At 51.0% G+C, this 15,909-nt stretch overlaps 2 long non-coding RNA genes across 3 annotated transcripts in view, besides 4 other annotated features; one reads left to right on the top strand and one right to left on the bottom strand.

Moving 5' to 3' along the window:
* The window catches only part of LOC105371750 (uncharacterized), a 115,553-nt gene that overhangs the window by 96,465 nt on the left and 3,179 nt on the right, over nt 1-15,909 (bottom strand). The gene's annotated exons all lie outside the window — the stretch shown is intronic.
* On the top strand, nt 2,821-4,344 carry LOC105371751 (uncharacterized). Its single transcript, XR_001752873.2, has 3 exons — nt 2,821-2,900; nt 3,655-3,881; nt 4,015-4,344. It is a non-coding gene; the product is annotated as an uncharacterized LOC105371751 (long non-coding RNA).
* Nucleotides 11,180-11,679: an enhancer, noted in NCBI's record as "H3K4me1 hESC enhancer chr17:35021739-35022238 (GRCh37/hg19 assembly coordinates)". NCBI's record gives its function as "activates a minimal SCP1, AML or CMV promoter by ChIP-STARR-seq in naive and primed H9 embryonic stem cells {active_cell/tissue: H9 hESC(naive and primed)}" and the evidence as "EXISTENCE:reporter gene assay evidence [ECO:0000049][PMID:30033119]".
* Nucleotides 11,180-11,796: a biological region, named in NCBI's record as "H3K4me1 hESC enhancer GRCh37_chr17:35021739-35022238".
* Nucleotides 11,622-11,796: a silencer, noted in NCBI's record as "fragment chr17:35021622-35021796 (GRCh37/hg19 assembly coordinates)". NCBI's record gives its function as "represses an EF-1alpha promoter that drives an FKBP-Casp9 reporter gene in an ReSE screen in K562 erythroleukemia cells {active_cell/tissue: K562}" and the evidence as "EXISTENCE:reporter gene assay evidence [ECO:0000049][PMID:32094911]".
* Nucleotides 14,424-14,629: a silencer, noted in NCBI's record as "fragment chr17:35018784-35018989 (GRCh37/hg19 assembly coordinates)". NCBI's record gives its function as "represses an EF-1alpha promoter that drives an FKBP-Casp9 reporter gene in an ReSE screen in HepG2 liver carcinoma cells {active_cell/tissue: HepG2}" and the evidence as "EXISTENCE:reporter gene assay evidence [ECO:0000049][PMID:32094911]".

The following is a 15,909-nucleotide window of genomic DNA, read 5'->3' as shown; positions in this document are numbered from 1 at the left end:
CCAGCTCCTGAGTGTCCCAGGGAAGAAGGCAGCACGGGCTCCCTGTGTCCTGCCACCCTGGGCTTTCAGAACCCGCATGCTTCCCACAGTCTAACCTAAATCCTTTCGCTTCAGGGGCAGTCCTGGGCACCTCTCACTTCCACCATCATTCTTGTCATCCACCCCTAACCTAGTACAGCCTCTAAGAAATGGGGCCAGTGGCCCCACTGGGAGAAGGTGCCTGGTGCAAGGACTGGACCTCTCCCTGCCCTCGAGTCCCCACAGTAATGCCCAGGCTTTGTAGTCACTGGGCCGGAGCTCCCACCCTGGTTCCATCTGCATTCCTTAGCCCATGTGACACTGAGCAAGGAGATTCCTTCACCTTCCTGAGCCTCAGTTTCCTGCTCTGTAAAATGGCACCAATCATCCTTATTGTCATGAAACTCAGACGTCACAATGGGCTGGAAGGTCTGAGCAGAGTGCTCCTGGAGCACATGGCAGGATCGCAACCAATGCTGCTCTCTGCCTTCTCCTCTCCCTCCTCCTCCTCCTCCTCTACCTCCTTCTCCTTCTCTTCCCATTGTATTTCACCCACCAAGAAACTCCAAACCCAAGCATCTTTGGGCATCAAGCTCCTCCTCCACCCTACATCCTCCCTGATTTCTCCCTGCTAGGGAGGGCAAAGGCAGGTGTGTGGTGACCCTTTCTTTTCTTCCCACCTTCCCCGGAGGCCTCAGTGGGGGTAACTGAGGGTGAAGTTGGTTCCAATGGAACGGAAGGCACAGCCTTGAGGATTGGGCTGTGTTTGAGGGTCAGAGGGTCCCTCTCCTAGGCTACCCAGCAGCCTGACAGGGGCTGTGGTGGGGAGACACAGTATGTCACATGCAAGAGGTGGTAGATCATTTGCTCCTCCACTTTATAGATGAGAAAGCTGAGGCCTAGCAAAAATAAGAGGCTCAGCCCAGGACACACAGCTGGGAGGAGTCTGGGCTCAGCTGGAGCCACCAGCCTGCCTCAGCGAAAGTAGAAAGTTCTTGTGCTTCCTGCTTCAGAATCAACATCTTTACTCTCCAGTGTGGAAGACCAGCTCCTCATCCTGCCAATCTGAGCCAGCTGGCATTTCAGAGGCCAAGACAACTGGCCTTAAATCGTAAACCCTAATACAGCCATGACTAAAATTGCCCTCCACCCAGTGCAGACCCTCCTTCAGGTCAGGTCCTGCAGAGGAAACCACACATTTGATTGCTCTCCTGTATGCACAGCTGCAGGTCAAATTGCATTACGCCAAGAGCCATTATAACAAAAGTGACAGGGCTACCAAAACTTTGCCAAAACCAGCCCAGGAGGCATCCACCAGCTCCAATACTGCCTCCTTGAAGTCTCGGGAAGAGTGCTGATCTGCAGGTCCCCATATGGGAGCTTTATGGCTCAGAGAGGGCACACAGAGAGGAAGTGGTGAACAGCCCATGTGACTCTGGCCACAAAACCTCCAAGGCTCCTTCCATGCCCCAGTCCTTCTTGAGCCACACCCTGACACAAGTACCTGGGACAGAGGGACTGATGCACTCCGAGAGGAACACACAAGGTGGGCGGGGCTTGTACTTATGTGCCCTGGCAAATGTGCCCTGGCAAATGTTACACAAAAGTGGAACACGGCGCCTCCATCAATACACACGCATGTGGCCTGTACACAGGCACACACTGTCATGCACACACAGGCATTAGGGCAGCAGTTCTCAACCTGGGTGCACACTAGACTACTGTGGAGCTTTAAAACACACCTGTGTCCAGCCCCACCCCCTGGGATGCTGATGGAATGAATGTGGGTCAGTTACCTATTGCTGCATACCAAATAACCCCCCAAAATTTAGCACCTTAAAAGAACAACAAACATTAGCTCACACGGTTTCTTTTTTTTCTTTTGTTTTTTAAATTATTTCAATAGTTTTGGCAGAACAGGTGGTGTTTGGTTCCATGGATAATTTCTTTAGTGGTGATTTCGGAGATTTCGGTGGATCCATACCCCGAGCAGTGTACACCGCACCCAGTGTGTAGTCTTCTATCCCTCATCACTCCCGCCCTTTCCCTGAGTCCCCAGAGTCCACTGTTTCATTCTTATGCCTTTGTGTCCTCATAGCTTAGCTCCCACTTATAAGTGAGGACATACGATGTTTGGGTTTTCCACTCCTGAGTTACTTCACTTAGAAGAGTGGTCTCCAATTCCATCCAAGTTGCTGCGAATGCCATTATTTCTTTCCTTTTTATGGCTGAGTAGTATTCCATGGTGTGTGTGTGTGTGTGTGTATATATATATATATATATATATATCTCACATTTTCTTTATCCACTTATTGGTTGATGGTCATTTAGGAGCTTACGTGGTTTCTGAGGTCAGAAATCCAGGAGCAGCTGAGCCAGGTGGTCCTGACTCAGGATCTCTCCTGAGGTTGGAGTTCAGACGTCAGCCCAGGCTGGAGCACCTGCTTCAAGATGACTCAATGCCACCAGCAAAAGGCTTCATTTCCTGGCCACATGGGCCTCTGCACAGGGCTGCTTGAGTGTTTTCATGACCCGTCAGTTGGCTGCCTTCTGAGCAAGAGATCCAAAGCAGTGCAGAGAGGAAGCCTCAGTACCTTCCCTGCCCTAACCTCCTAAATCACACCACTTCCGCTGTGTTTGTGTTTTAGAAGGAGCCCACACTCTAGGGGAAGAGAATTAGACTCCATCTTCAGAAGGGAGGAGGCTCAAAGGATTTGTGGATCTACTTTAAAACCATCACAGCATGTGAGGTGAGGCCAGGGCACTGGGATTTTTAAACACCCACAGGTGACTCCAGCGTGCAGCCAGGGCTGAGACCTACTGTCTTGCAAAGTCACCAATCAGAGGTGGAGACTACAGATTCAGCAAGACATGACTTCAAGGTACGCCAGCCACCCAGGCCCTCCATCCCCAGGGAAGCTCACTTCAGTGGCCTCAGCCCAGCTTCCATCCTTCCCTGGCCCTTCCCTGACCCCTCGCAGCTCACATCTCCTGGAGACCTTCTCAGAGACCCCCACCCCCAGGCTCCAGGCCATGTCCCAGCCCAGCAACACCCCTGCACTAGCTGTTCCTAGGACTGGTTTCAGGCCTGTGCGCATGTGTGGGTTTGTGTGAGTGCCCATGTATGCACACGTGTATATGCATGTACCCACACAGGCCCATCTCCTCACAGGCCAGGACTCCCTGACAAGGTGACCACATCCTCTCTTCTCCTCACCCCTCCTCTGTCTTCTTCTCTTCCTTCCTTTTTTTTTTTTTTTTTTGAGATGGAGTCTCACTCTGTCGTCCAGGCTGGAGTGCAGTGGTGCGATCTCAGCTCACTGCAACCTCCACCTCCCAGGGTCAAGTCCACCTCCTGCCTCAGTCTCCCAAGTAGCTGAGATTACAGGTATGCGCCACCCTACCTGGCTAATTTTTGCATTTTTAGTAGAGACAAGGTTTCACCATGTTGGCCAGGCTGGTCTTGAACTCCTGACCTCAAGTCATCTGCCTGCCTCGGCCTCCCAAAGTGCTGGGATTGCAGGCGTGAGCCACCACACCTGGCCTCTTCCTTTCTTTCCCTTTCTCTCCCCCTCCTTCTCTTCCCTCTCCTTTCTTTTCTCACTCTTGACTTTTCCCTTTCTCTGTCTCCCGCAGGTCTCTCCTTTCTGATCTTGGGATCTCACACCCTCATCCTCTTGGCCGCCAGGAGGCTCCCCGGCTCATCTGTGATGATCCTGATGCTGTAACATGCACAGGAGCAACTCAGAGTGACCAGGGAGTGGACTGGGACCTCCCTGCCTGCTGACCTCCAAGGACTTTCCAGGCCCACTCTGCTTGTCCTCCAGCCCCAGCCACTCCTCCAGGCCACCCTGGGGTCTCAGGTAGGGCCACCTTCCTCCTATATCACCTGCCTCACCCAAGGCCCCCCACTCCCAGGAAGTCAGGAGCTGAGGGGCAGTGGCAGGAGCCGGGAGAGGAGCCAGTCCACTCCCAGACGCCTCTGTCTCTCTCTAGGGTCCTGGCCTGCCGGCTTCCCACGTGCTCCTTCCTCTCCATATTCCCTCTCTCTCTGTTTCTCTCTGTCTTTCTGTCTCTGTCTCCATCTGTCCCTTTCTTTGGCTCCAGCTTTCTCTTGGAGATCTCCTGGCCAGAGCTCCTAAGGCTGCAGAAATCAGAAGGCTGCCCCTCAAGAGGACAGCAGCTCTGCCCTAGTAATGAGGAGGAAGGATAACTCTTCTCAGGAATTAATGAGACCACCAAGAACAAAAGAGGCGACCAGCAGAGGCCAGAGAGGCAGGGCCGCGTTAAGCCATCCCCGCAGAATCGCATGCCAGCAATAATAGAGTCAGGAAAAATGGAGTCGAGATCCCTGTGGTAAAAACTATTAGAGGAGGCGAATTATAAAACTATTAACCAGAATGTAACTCCCAATTAAAAGATGATTTAACACTGGAACCTGATGGATGAATTTTGATTAAATGGAGAACTATTAGGAGCCCAGGGATAAGGCTGTTCCTGCCAGTTCTAAAAGTTAAAAGGCAGTTTGATATAAAAATTTATAAATTAAGGTTAATTACTTTAAATAACACGGCTGGAAGCAATGAAAGGAAATTTGTCAGAATCTCCAGAGTTTGGGGCAAGATGGATACAGATGTCTGGACTGGCCCCAGGGAGCCTGGAGGTCAGGGCAGGGATGGTCAAGGCCAGCAAAAGGGCAGGTGACGTCCGTGCTCCTGCAGAACCCCACCAAGAAGTGAGGGGCTGGCTGAGGCACCAGACTGGGGATGCCCCCAATATTCCCCACCAGACCCCACCAGTGGGAATCTCCAGGCCTTGCCCCAGGATTTCCTGAGCACTTGGCATGGGTGGTGGGCAGGTCACTCTGCCTCAGTCCTGCCCCAGCTGAAGAGGCGTCACCACCACCCCCATGCCCAGCCATGTCCTGCCAGGCCTGCTCCACACCCTCCATTCCGGTGACACTGGCCTGCAGGATGAGGAGGATCTGCAGGGGGCAGGCTGCTCTTCTCTGATGCTCCAGGGCTGTGGGCTATGACCACCCCACAGGGCCATACTCCTGCCTCCACGGCGCCCTGCACCAGAGTCCCAGATTCTCCCTGGAGCTGCAGATCTGTGCTTCAGAAGGCCAGGGCACTGCCCACACTCGATATCTGACCCTTTACAGGTCAAGGCTCTGCCTGGGTACCTCATCCCCTTCCCAAAACCCCATCCCTGCCCCTAGGCGATTTCTCAGCATGCCAAGGGGTGGCCCTGTGGTTGGCCTGGTCCTGTCCTAGCAGTTGGGAGAGAACCATACTTGGCTCACAGCTACAGCCAGACCTCAAAGGGTCCAGGAGAAATTGATGTAAGGCTTGCCCAGTGATTAGGGCATGGGCACTCGAGCCAGACTCCTTGGGTTCAAGCTCCAGCTCCAACCCTTAGCAACCTACGTCTTCAGGACTTGCAGTTCTTCATCTGTAAACTGGAGATAATACCCTCTCCTTGCAGGATGGTTGTGCAGATGAGAGGTAAAGCCCTCACAGGTAGTATGTGCTCAATAAATGGCAATGATTCTCACCATCTGTGTCTCATCTTAGTAAGAAATGCAATTGTCTGCCAGGTGCCACTGAGAGCTTCCTGCATGCAAGCACATGGTAACCACGTGGCAGGCATAAGGGCAAAATACCTTATTTCATCTTCTCAGCACCCTTTGAAGTCAGTCATGTCATAATTCTCATTCACAGAAGAGAAAACTGAGGCACAGGGAGGTGTGGTCACAAGCCTCAGGCCTTGAAACTGGCAGCGGCCAAGCCAGGACTTGGGTCTTTCAGCTCCTGACCCCATCGCTCCTTGCCTTCTAGGGCACTGTTTGGCAGGCATTTACATTTACTCTGGCTGTGCCTCTCACTATAAACCCCAGATGGTATTTGGAATGAGAGCCAATAGGAAAGAAGGGAGACATAAAGGGGTTAGAGGAAGGAAGGAAGGAAGGGAAGGGAAGGAGGGAGGGAGAAGGAATGATCTGTGCTTCAGGAGGCCTGGGCACTGCCCACACTCAACATCTGACCCTTTACAGCTCAAGGCTCTGCCTGGGTACCTTGTCAGAGGAAAGAGGAAGGGAGAGAGGGAAGGAAAGAGGTAGCCAGGCTTGGTGGTGCACCTGTAATCCCAGCTACTCAGGAGGCTGAGGCAGGAGAATTGCTTGAACCTGAGAGATGGAGGTTGCAGTGAGCCAAGATCATGCCACTGTACTCCAGTATGGGTGACAGAGTAAGACTCTGTTTCAAAAAAAAAAAAGAGGGAAGGAAAGAGGAAGGAAGGGAGGGAGGAAGGAAGGAATGAGAAAGAGCAGGGCAGGACGGAGGGAGGAAAGGGAAAGTCTTGTGGATTGGTTTGTATGTTTTTAATAAATCTCTCTGAAGGTGTCATGTTTCTGAGACAGGTGCTAATAACACAGATATTTTTATTTTGTAAAAATTCATCCCTCTGTGTGTACTCACTCATGCTCTTTTCTTTATGTAAAATATTGATTATAATAAACAGTTTTCATATAAATATAATGGGTGAATTTTATGGTACACAAACTATACCTCAATAAAGCTGTGTTTTAAAAAATAAATATAGTACACCAAAAAAAAAACCCAACCCTTTGCACAGTATATAATATAGACTAGGTATCAAAAGACCAAGAGAGGCCCCGAGTAGCTAAGTGGTTGCCCTGGGATGAGGCCATCAGAGAGGGTTTCTCAGAAGGGAGGTCTATAGAGCCAAGCCCTGTGGGAAAGGAGGCAGGAGAGGCTGGGGCAGGGCATACCACATGCCCCTGGCCAAATCGCTTCCCCTCCAATCCTCTCTCACTTTCCTCCAAGAACAAGGCTGGGAAGGGGAGAAAGGGAGGACAACCTGAGAAGGACAGCCCAGGCAAAAGGTTGGAGCAGAGAACAGAGGTGATCCAGGCACAAGGAACGTGAAACCTAAAGGCTTAAACTGCCCTGAGCACAAGAAAGGAATCAGGGCACTTAACATCGGGGGAGAATGAGGAGGGCAATGTCCTGAAAAAATTCCCAAATAACATAGGCAGAAAGTAACATTGCAATTGAGGCAAAGCTTATAATGATAATGATGGTGATGATCCCTTTTTTTTTTTTTTTTTTGAGATGAAGTTTCACTTTGTTGCCCAGGCTGGAGTGCAGTGGTGCCATCTCGGCTCTCTGCAATCTCCACCTCCTGGGTTCAAGTGATTCTCCCACCTTGGCCTCCCAAGTAGCTGGGATTACAGGTGCCCACCACCATGCTCAGCTAATTTTTGTATTTTTAGTAGAGACATGGTTTTGCCATATTGGCCAGGCTGGTCTGGAACTCCTGATCTCAAGTGATCTGCCTGCCTCGGCCTCCCAGAGTGCTGGGATTAGAGGCATGAGCCACTGCGCCTGGCCCCCCAACCCTTTTTTTTTTTTTTGAGACAGGATCTCACTCTGCCACCCAGGCTGGAGTGCTGTGATGCGATCTTGGCTCACTGCAGCCTCCACCTCCTGGGCTCAATCAATCCTCCCACCTCAGCATCCTGAGATGTTGGGACCACAAGTGTGCACCACCATGCCTGGCTAATTTTTAAATTTTTTGTAGAGACAGGGTCTCCCTATGTTGCCTGGGCTGGTCTTGAACTCCTGGGCTTAGGCAATCCTCCTGCCTTGGCCTCCCAAAGTGCTGAGATTACAGGCATGAGCCTCTGCAACCAGCGGATGATCCCATTTATGATGTTAGTAACATTGCTGCTGTCTTCATGATTGTTGTTGTCAGAAAAGCAGCAGGATGAAGTACATTTCCCAAAGTGAGCTCCAAGGAACACTTCTCCCCCAAGATTCTTTCTCCTCAACTAACTTGTTCACAGCAAAGATTTTGTTCATACTAACTCTGCTCTGCTCTTGGGACTACCCAGTGTGCAAAAGTATAATAAAGGCTCTGATAAGTTCTGCAGCAAATAGTCTGTTTAACTTTGTTGCAAACAGCCTTCCCTAAGCAGAGTTGATCACAGAAACCTCCTTTTTCATACTTATTATCACCCCAGGAATTGAGGCTTTGTGGCTCACACTCTGAGGAAGGAGGAGGAGAGCCTGAGCTCTGAATCAGACAGGCTGGGTTCCGTTTCAGCCTGTTTCACCGTGGCCTTAGGTAATTTGTTTAACCCCTCTGTGCCTCAACTTCCCTGGCTGTAAAATGGAGGAAATAATGCCTGTCTCATAAGGTTATGGTGAAGCTTCAATTAAATTTGGCACATTGGCCAGGTGCAGTGGCTTGCGCCTTAATACCACCACTTTGGAAGGCCGAGGTGGGCGGATCACTTGAGGTTAGGAGTTTGAGACCAGCCTGGCCAACATGGTGAAACCCCGTCTCTACCAAAAATACAAAAATTAGCTGGGCATGGTGGCAGGCACCTGTAATCCCAGCCGCTCTGGAGGCTGAGGCAGGAGAATCACTTGAACCCAGGAGGTGGAGGTTGCAGTGAGCCGAAATTGCGCCACTGTACTCCAGCCTGGGCGACAAAGCAATACTCTGTCTCAAATATACATATATGGCACATGACAGGTATTCAACAAATGTTTGTTCACCCATTTTACAGATGAACTCACTTGCCAGGAATGCATAAGCAGCGAATAACAGCCAGGGCTGGGATTCATGTCTAAGTTTTGCTGTTTGGTGGGGAAGGTGGGGACCCCTGCCTGCTGTTGGATGTGGGACTAATGAGTCTTTGTAGCCAAGGAGTCACCCTCTGAAGCATAAAGGATTCAGGATTACTTCCTGAAAGCATAACACAGCACAAGCCCTGGACCATCGGGGACTGAGTCATGACTCTGCCACTTACAAGTCACTTAACTGCTTAAGAAAGGTCACTTAACTCCTTGGGTTTCTGATCAGTAAAGTGGGGATAAAAATAGTACCTTTACATGGAGTTACCGTGAGGCAGAAATGAGTCAATGCAGGTAAAGTGCTTAGAATAGAGATTGACATGTGGTAAACCCTCAATACATGTGAGCTTTTGTTATTATTTCTGTTACTATTCTTTGTGGGGCCCCCAGGCAATTGACGGGAGATAGGGATGCAAAATATTCTTTTTCCCAAGGGGTCCTGGAAAGCAGGCATGACAGTCCCTGTCTGCTAGGATCCTGTCTCCTGGCTCCATCCTTCTACAGATTCCAGCCCTGCCTGAGCCCCTTCCTTCGGCTATGGGGATCTCACTAATGACATCTACCCTGATGGGGCTGCCCACACCAAGCATGAGCATATTAAGCCATTCTCGATTTGCTATAAAAAAAATACCTGAGATGGGGTAATTTATAAAGAAAAGATGTGTAATTGGCTCAGAGTTCTGCAGGCTGTATAGGAAGCATGGTGCTGGCACCTGCTCAGCTTCTAGGGAGGCCTCAGGACACTTACAATCATGGCAGAAGGTGAAGGGGGAGCAGGCACGTCACATGTGAAAGCAGGAGCGAGCCAGAGAATGGGGTGGGGGAGGTGCCACACACTTTTAAATGACCAGACCGCACGTGGACTAACTGATCCAGAGCTTGCTTATCACCAAGGGGATGGCCCAAGCCATTCATTAGGTATCCGCCCCCATAATCCAAACACCTTCTACCAGGGCCCTATCTTCAATACTGGGGATTGCACTTCAACATGAGATTTCAGCAGGGACAAATATCCAAACTATATCAGTGAGCCTGTGACTGGCCCGTCCTCAGAGGCTTCATCTCGCTAAAGAGCTACTGACCCCATTCTCACCTCCAGCTTGCATTTGAACAGTGAACTTGACCCTTCAAATCACTGTCATGTCTGCAGCATCCTCTGAGAGGAGCAGAATGGGCATTTGCATCCACAACTTATGAAGGAGAAACTGAGGCACACAGTGACGTTCAGGGACTCCCCTGCAGCCAAATGGGGCCTAGAACCCAGGTTTCCTGACCTGAAAGCCTGGGCTGCTTCCCACCGTATTATGCTGAGCCAAGCCCCACCCCTCACTCACTAAATGAAGTGATTCTTAGTTAATAAAGGTGCCCACTTCCCAATAAGGCTACCCATGCCAACGGGAGGAGGCTCACTGGTACAGCAATGGAGGTCATCCATGGTGACAAGTCCTCATGGTCAGCAATCCAATGGCCCCGGCCCACCCTGCTGCACGTCTCCCAGACCCTCCCATTCCCTCCCATCTCAGGCTTCACAAGAGGGCTTCCCCAGGCTAACGAATCAAACTGTCATCTGGCTCCTAATAGCTACAGAGACCTTGGCCTGGGTCACCTCTGACCCCAAGGACATAGCTAAGCTGATATACTCATTTTCTAGCCCAATGAGCCTACTACGTCTCCCACAGCAGGGCACTCAATGGCCATGGTGGCCCCACGCTAAGATGTAGCTCTCAGATTAGAGGTCAAGAGTTACAGTTCTGAGTCAGGGCCAGATCTACCTTTTTCCCTCTCTTCCTCCTCCTCATTCTCTCCCTTCGGTGTTCCTAAATTCTCTGAAGCTTAGTTTTCTCATCAGTTCAGGTGGCATCCAGTTCAGGTTGCTATGTGTAAATGTAGCTCCTGGCCCAGGGCAGGCATTGGCCTCCCCTGGCAGGCATTGGTTATGCTCAAGTGACAGCATAACCTGTGTAGTTCTGGGTCACCCTGTGGCCAGTCTCTATATGGTGCTGCATTCAGAGAAGACATCAGTCCATCACCACAGGACACTGAAATGCAGCTCCAGTTCTGACCAAAGCATCTGTAAATGGGCATTTACATTCCTAAAACAAATCCCAACTTCTTAGAGTCCTATTTTTCCATCTCCTGCTCCCTCTGGCAGCATGGCCACGGTGTCTCAGTCTCCCCACAACCTTCACCAGCCTCAGCCCCAACAGCGGCCTGGTTCTCCCCGCGCTCCCTTCTGCCTTTATCCACTTCTATCCTTTTCACCTGGGAGAAATACTCTGCTTTGCCTGATGGAAACTAATCTGAGATTTGGGGGCTTCTTTCAATTTTCCTCCCTCCCCAGCAACTGGGGCCCACAGCAGACCAAACACACAGAAACTTCCTTGGAGGGAGACGCAGCACAAAGGCTGGGAATCCTTGGATGTGAATTGTTTTGGTACTGAATAGGTGGTTGTTATTAGCAGGCACAGACACACACTTATCGCTGCCATCCACGATCTCCTCCTCCGGGAGCTTACAGTCGAGTTGAGGAAAGAACTTGAAATAATTTGACAACTTGGAACTCTGAACTGCACATAACAGACACGCCTCTGGAAGGAGTGGTCAGGGAAAGTGCTCCAGGCTGGGAAAGACTTGAGCTGAGTCACACACACACACAGTAGGCATTCGACTGGGGGTTGAGTGAGGGATTCATGGAGAGGGCACACGCAGATGAGAAAAGACACCAGGAACAGACTTGAGAGGCAAGGCCAGAAAGGACGGCTGGGATCAGATCACATCGGGGCTGGAGAGCAGCCTTGAGATCTGGGCTGCTGCCTGGCGGGGGTCACGCAGAGCCATGGAAGGTCTTGGAGCACAGGAATAAAGCAATCGAATCTGCTGTAGGAAGCTAACTGGTGGCCAGAGGAGGAAGGTGGGAGGCCGGGTGAGGGGGCTGAAGGCCAGCTGAGGGCAGGGCTGTGGGGCTGGAAGTGAAGGACTGGGTTCAAGTGTTGACCATGACCGGACAGGGACAGAGGTGGGGAAGGGAAGGGGGAGACCTGGTTCTAGGCAATGACTGCCCCTGCCCACCTGCCTCTGTCAACTTCTGTGGCCCCACTTCCTCAGTCCTTTCCCAACTCTAGCTAAACCCTCTAGACCTGTGTGCTTCTCCCACCCCCATCTCTCCCTTGGGGACCCCGGGTACTTGTCAGTGGCCTCACTCCTCACCACACTCCACACTCACTCTTTACTGCCTTGAAAGCTCCGAGGAGTTTCTCCAAAGCTAGCGGCGCCCAGGCTGTTGGAGCTGGCCATGAGGTGCTGCCCCTCCAAGTCATGTGGGGAAGCTGAGCCCACCCAACTCACAGGTAATCAAGGCCCGTGTATGAGAGTTCAGGGGTGAGACCATGGGCTTCAAAGCCAAACCACCTACGACTGGGTCCTGACTCTGCCAACTGCTAATTATGTGACCTCAGACAAACTAATTAACCTCCCAGACTCAGTTTCTCCATCTGTACAATGGGGGCAGTGGCGGTTCCTGACTCAAAGGGCTGTTGTAAGCACTGAAAGAGTTAATAACATGCGAAGCCTTTAGCACAATTCCAGGCACGCAGCAAGTACTCAATAAATATTGACTCCTTTGTTGGTTTTTTTTTTTTTTTGAGACAGAGTCTCGCTCTGTTGCCCAGGCTGGAGTGCAGTGGCATGATCTCGGCTCACTGCAAGCTCCGCTTCCCCGGTTCACGCCATTCTCTTGCCTCAGCCTCCTGAGTAGCTGGGACTACAGGTGCCCGCCACCACGCCCGGCTAATTTTTTGTATTTTTAGTAGAGACGGGGTTTCACCTTGTTAGCCAGAATGGTCTCGATCTCCTGACCTCGTGATCCTCCCACCTCAGCCTCCCAAAGTGCTGGGATTACAGGCGTGAGCCACCGCGCCCGGCCTAATATTTACTCCTTTGTATAGAACAAGTCCCGTGACAGACACTAGGGAGACACAATGTATAAAGCAGGTTCCCTGCTATCATAGAACTAACAGGACATGCAAAGAAACAAATGCCTTGCAATTTGGAACAAACGATGAGAGAAATAGGAGATATCAACTCACCCTCAAGGAATCCCCAGTCTTGGGAGGAGGGTGTGCACAGGGGCTCAGCTTCTGCCTTTCAAATCTTAGTCTGATGGGAGAGACACACCCTCCTCCCTGACCCAGGGAGCTTCCAGCCTGTTGGGTAAGGATGGACTCTCACACATCAAGGTGTCTCCTCCCAGGCTGCCTCTTCCTATTTGACTACCTGAAATTCCTACTCTTTCTTCAAATGTCACCTTCTCCAAGAAGACTTCCTTGATCCCCACCAGACAGGGAGCAGCCCATCCTTGACACTCCGAGAGCACTTTGCTCCCTCCTCCATCAGAGCACTTCTCACTCTGCACTGAAGGAGACTGTGTGTGTCTGTGTGTGTATGTCTCCAGGCCACCTACCCACAAACCCCACATTTGTGAAGGTGGAGACCAGGTCTGACTAGTGAGAGCCAGGTGCACAGCACGTGCAGAACAAGTGTGTGCCGGCGAAGTGATGAATGAAAGGATGGACCGGCTGGTAAACAGAGAGACAATCTGGAGACACTGGTCTGTTAGGGAAGACGGACACCGGGACAGGCTATGTCTCTTCGTCATAGAATAGGATGATGACAACCTCGCTAGGGCCCCAGAGAAGCTCTGGGGGGGCACGAACAATGGGGATTCCAGGGAGCAACCCTGCTTCCCAGCCTGCACAGCACCAGCCTGCCCTCTGTTACCCACTCTCAATGATCACAGCAGAAGCCAGGCACGGTGGCTTACACCCATACTCCCAATATTTTGGGAGGCTGAGGCAGGAGGATCACCTGAGCCCAGGAGTTCAAGACCAGCCTGGGCAACATAGTGAGACCCCATCTATCTTGAAAGAAAGAAGGAAAGAAAGAAAGAAAGAAAGAAAGAAAGAAAGAAAGAAAGAAAGAAAGAAAGAAAGAAAGAAAGAAAGAAAAGAAAGAAAGGAAGGAAAGAAGGAAGGAAGGAAGAGAAAGAAAAGAAAGAAAGAAAGAAAGAAAGAAAGAAAGAAAGAAAGAAAGAAAGAAAGAAAGAAAGAAAGAAACGAACGCAAGAAAGCAAAGAATCATGGGAGCACCCTCCGTCCCTGGGACTGGCTGTCTTCCCCACCTGGGCAGCATGCCCTGGAAAAACACCACAAACATAACACAAACCTGTTACTACACCAGAAAGTGGGGGCATATAGCCAGAACATCACAATGTCTGTCCCAAAACCCTCTAGATGCAAGCCAGGGTCTCTCTGCCCATACCTTGGTTGGTTTACTCAGGCCAAAGCCAATGGCAAAGTGAGTGTTCAAAACATGTTGGACAAGTAAACGTCTGAGCATCCAGGGGACAGAGAGCTGGCTGTGCTCCCTTCCTCCTACAGGGGCTTCCCCCAAGAGCCCAAAGAGCAGACTCTGGAAGTGCCGGGTTCACGTCTTGCCCGCTGCACGATCCTGGGCAAGACATTTGGCCTCTCTGAGCCTCAGGCTCCTCCTCTAGAAAATGGGTACGATCAGAGAAAAAGCTTCATAAAGCTCTTCCAAATGCAAGTTCATATTTTGTTCTCACTTCTTGTGTGTGAGAACAAAATATGAACTTACATTTGGAAGAGCTTTATGAAGAATAAAGGGCTGCACAAACAAGGGACTTGGAGTATTTGCATTGTTTTTTGTTTTGTTTGTTTGTTTGTTTTGAGACAGAGTCTCGTTCTGCCACCCAGGCTGGAGTGCAATGGCGCGATCTTGGCTCACCGCAACCTCCGCCTCCTGGGTTCAAGCAACTCTCCTGCCTCAGCCTCCCAAGTAGCTGGGACTACAGGTGTGTGCTACCATACCTCGCTAATTTTTTTGTATTTTTAGTAGAGACGGAGTTTCACCATGTTAGCCAGGATGGTCTCGATCTCCTGACCTCATGATTCACCCACCTCAGCCTCCCAAAGTGCTGGGATTACAGGCATGAGCCACCGCACCCGGCCTTGTATTGTTTTAATATTATTGTTATCACAGCAAAAGAACAGAAACTCAAGCCCTTGACCCTGGATCAGTGCTGTGGCCCTCTAAGGCATCCTCAGCATCTGCTCTGAGCTGGAATTTTTGATTCAAGGTCCAACTGAGGCATGGAACAACTGGGGTGAGGAGAGGAGAAAGGTAGGTGTGTATATGTGTATGTGTCTGTGCAGGTGTGCACTTGCACGTGTGTGTGCCTCTGCATGTGCATGTGTGTGTCTGGGTGCACATTTGCGCGTGTGTGTACATGTGTGTGTCTCTGCATGCACATGTGTGTGGGTCCACATTTACATATGTGTGCATGTGTGTGTGCCTATATGTATGCATGTGTGTCTGGGTGCACATTTGCATGTGCACGTGTGTGCCTACGCACGCACATGTGTGTGGGTGCCCATCTACATGTGTGTGCACGTGTGTGTGCCTACGCATGCATGTGTGTGTCTGGGTGCACATCTGCATGTGTGTGCCCACGCTTATGCAGGTGCATGTGTGTGTCTGGGTGCACATTTGCATGTGTGTGCATGTGGGTGTGTGCCTGTGTGAGTGTATCTGTGTCTGCCCTGGGGTGGGGAGAGGTGGGGACAGAGGGAAGAAAAGGGGAATAGAGGAGAAAAGAAGAAAAGCAGAAAAGCACGGGGAAGAGGAGGACTGAGGTATTCGGTTACATGATCTAAATTCTAATCAAACATCATTTAAAGCGTGTTTTATTTCAGCCTCGGGAGAGCCGGTCCCTCCTGGCTGCTCACCATGGCAACGGGCCGCTCATTTCAGAAGTGTCATGCCACATTATCATCCTGCCGCCTCACAAGCTCTCGCCGCCTGACAACTTCGCTCTGCCCCTTGCGACAACCATCCCCGCTCCGCCGGTTTATTTTTGGTGTCAGCCGGCCCCCCCTTCCCTGCCCCCTCCCCATCATCAGTGGATTGAAAGACAACCTCAGCCCTCCAGCCGGTGAGCATCGCAGCCTGTTTGGTGATAAGAGATAATTTGAGAAGATATTTGCTTACATGTGTATGAACAATTTGCTGCATTAAGACAATTCTGCCTGGTGCGTGGGGATGGGGAGGGGGTGGCCAGTGCTTCAGCTGACAACACCCCAGGAAAGAGGAGGGACAGTCTTGTGGGAGCTCTATGCGATGATCATCTGGCTGCCTCCCCCAGCATCAC

Source organism: Homo sapiens, chromosome 17, assembly GCF_000001405.40.
Source record: "Homo sapiens chromosome 17, GRCh38.p14 Primary Assembly".
Taxonomy (NCBI): domain Eukaryota; kingdom Metazoa; phylum Chordata; class Mammalia; order Primates; family Hominidae; genus Homo; species Homo sapiens.
The sequence above is the reverse complement of the archived record's forward strand: the minus strand, read 5'-3'. Positions and strand labels throughout refer to the sequence as shown.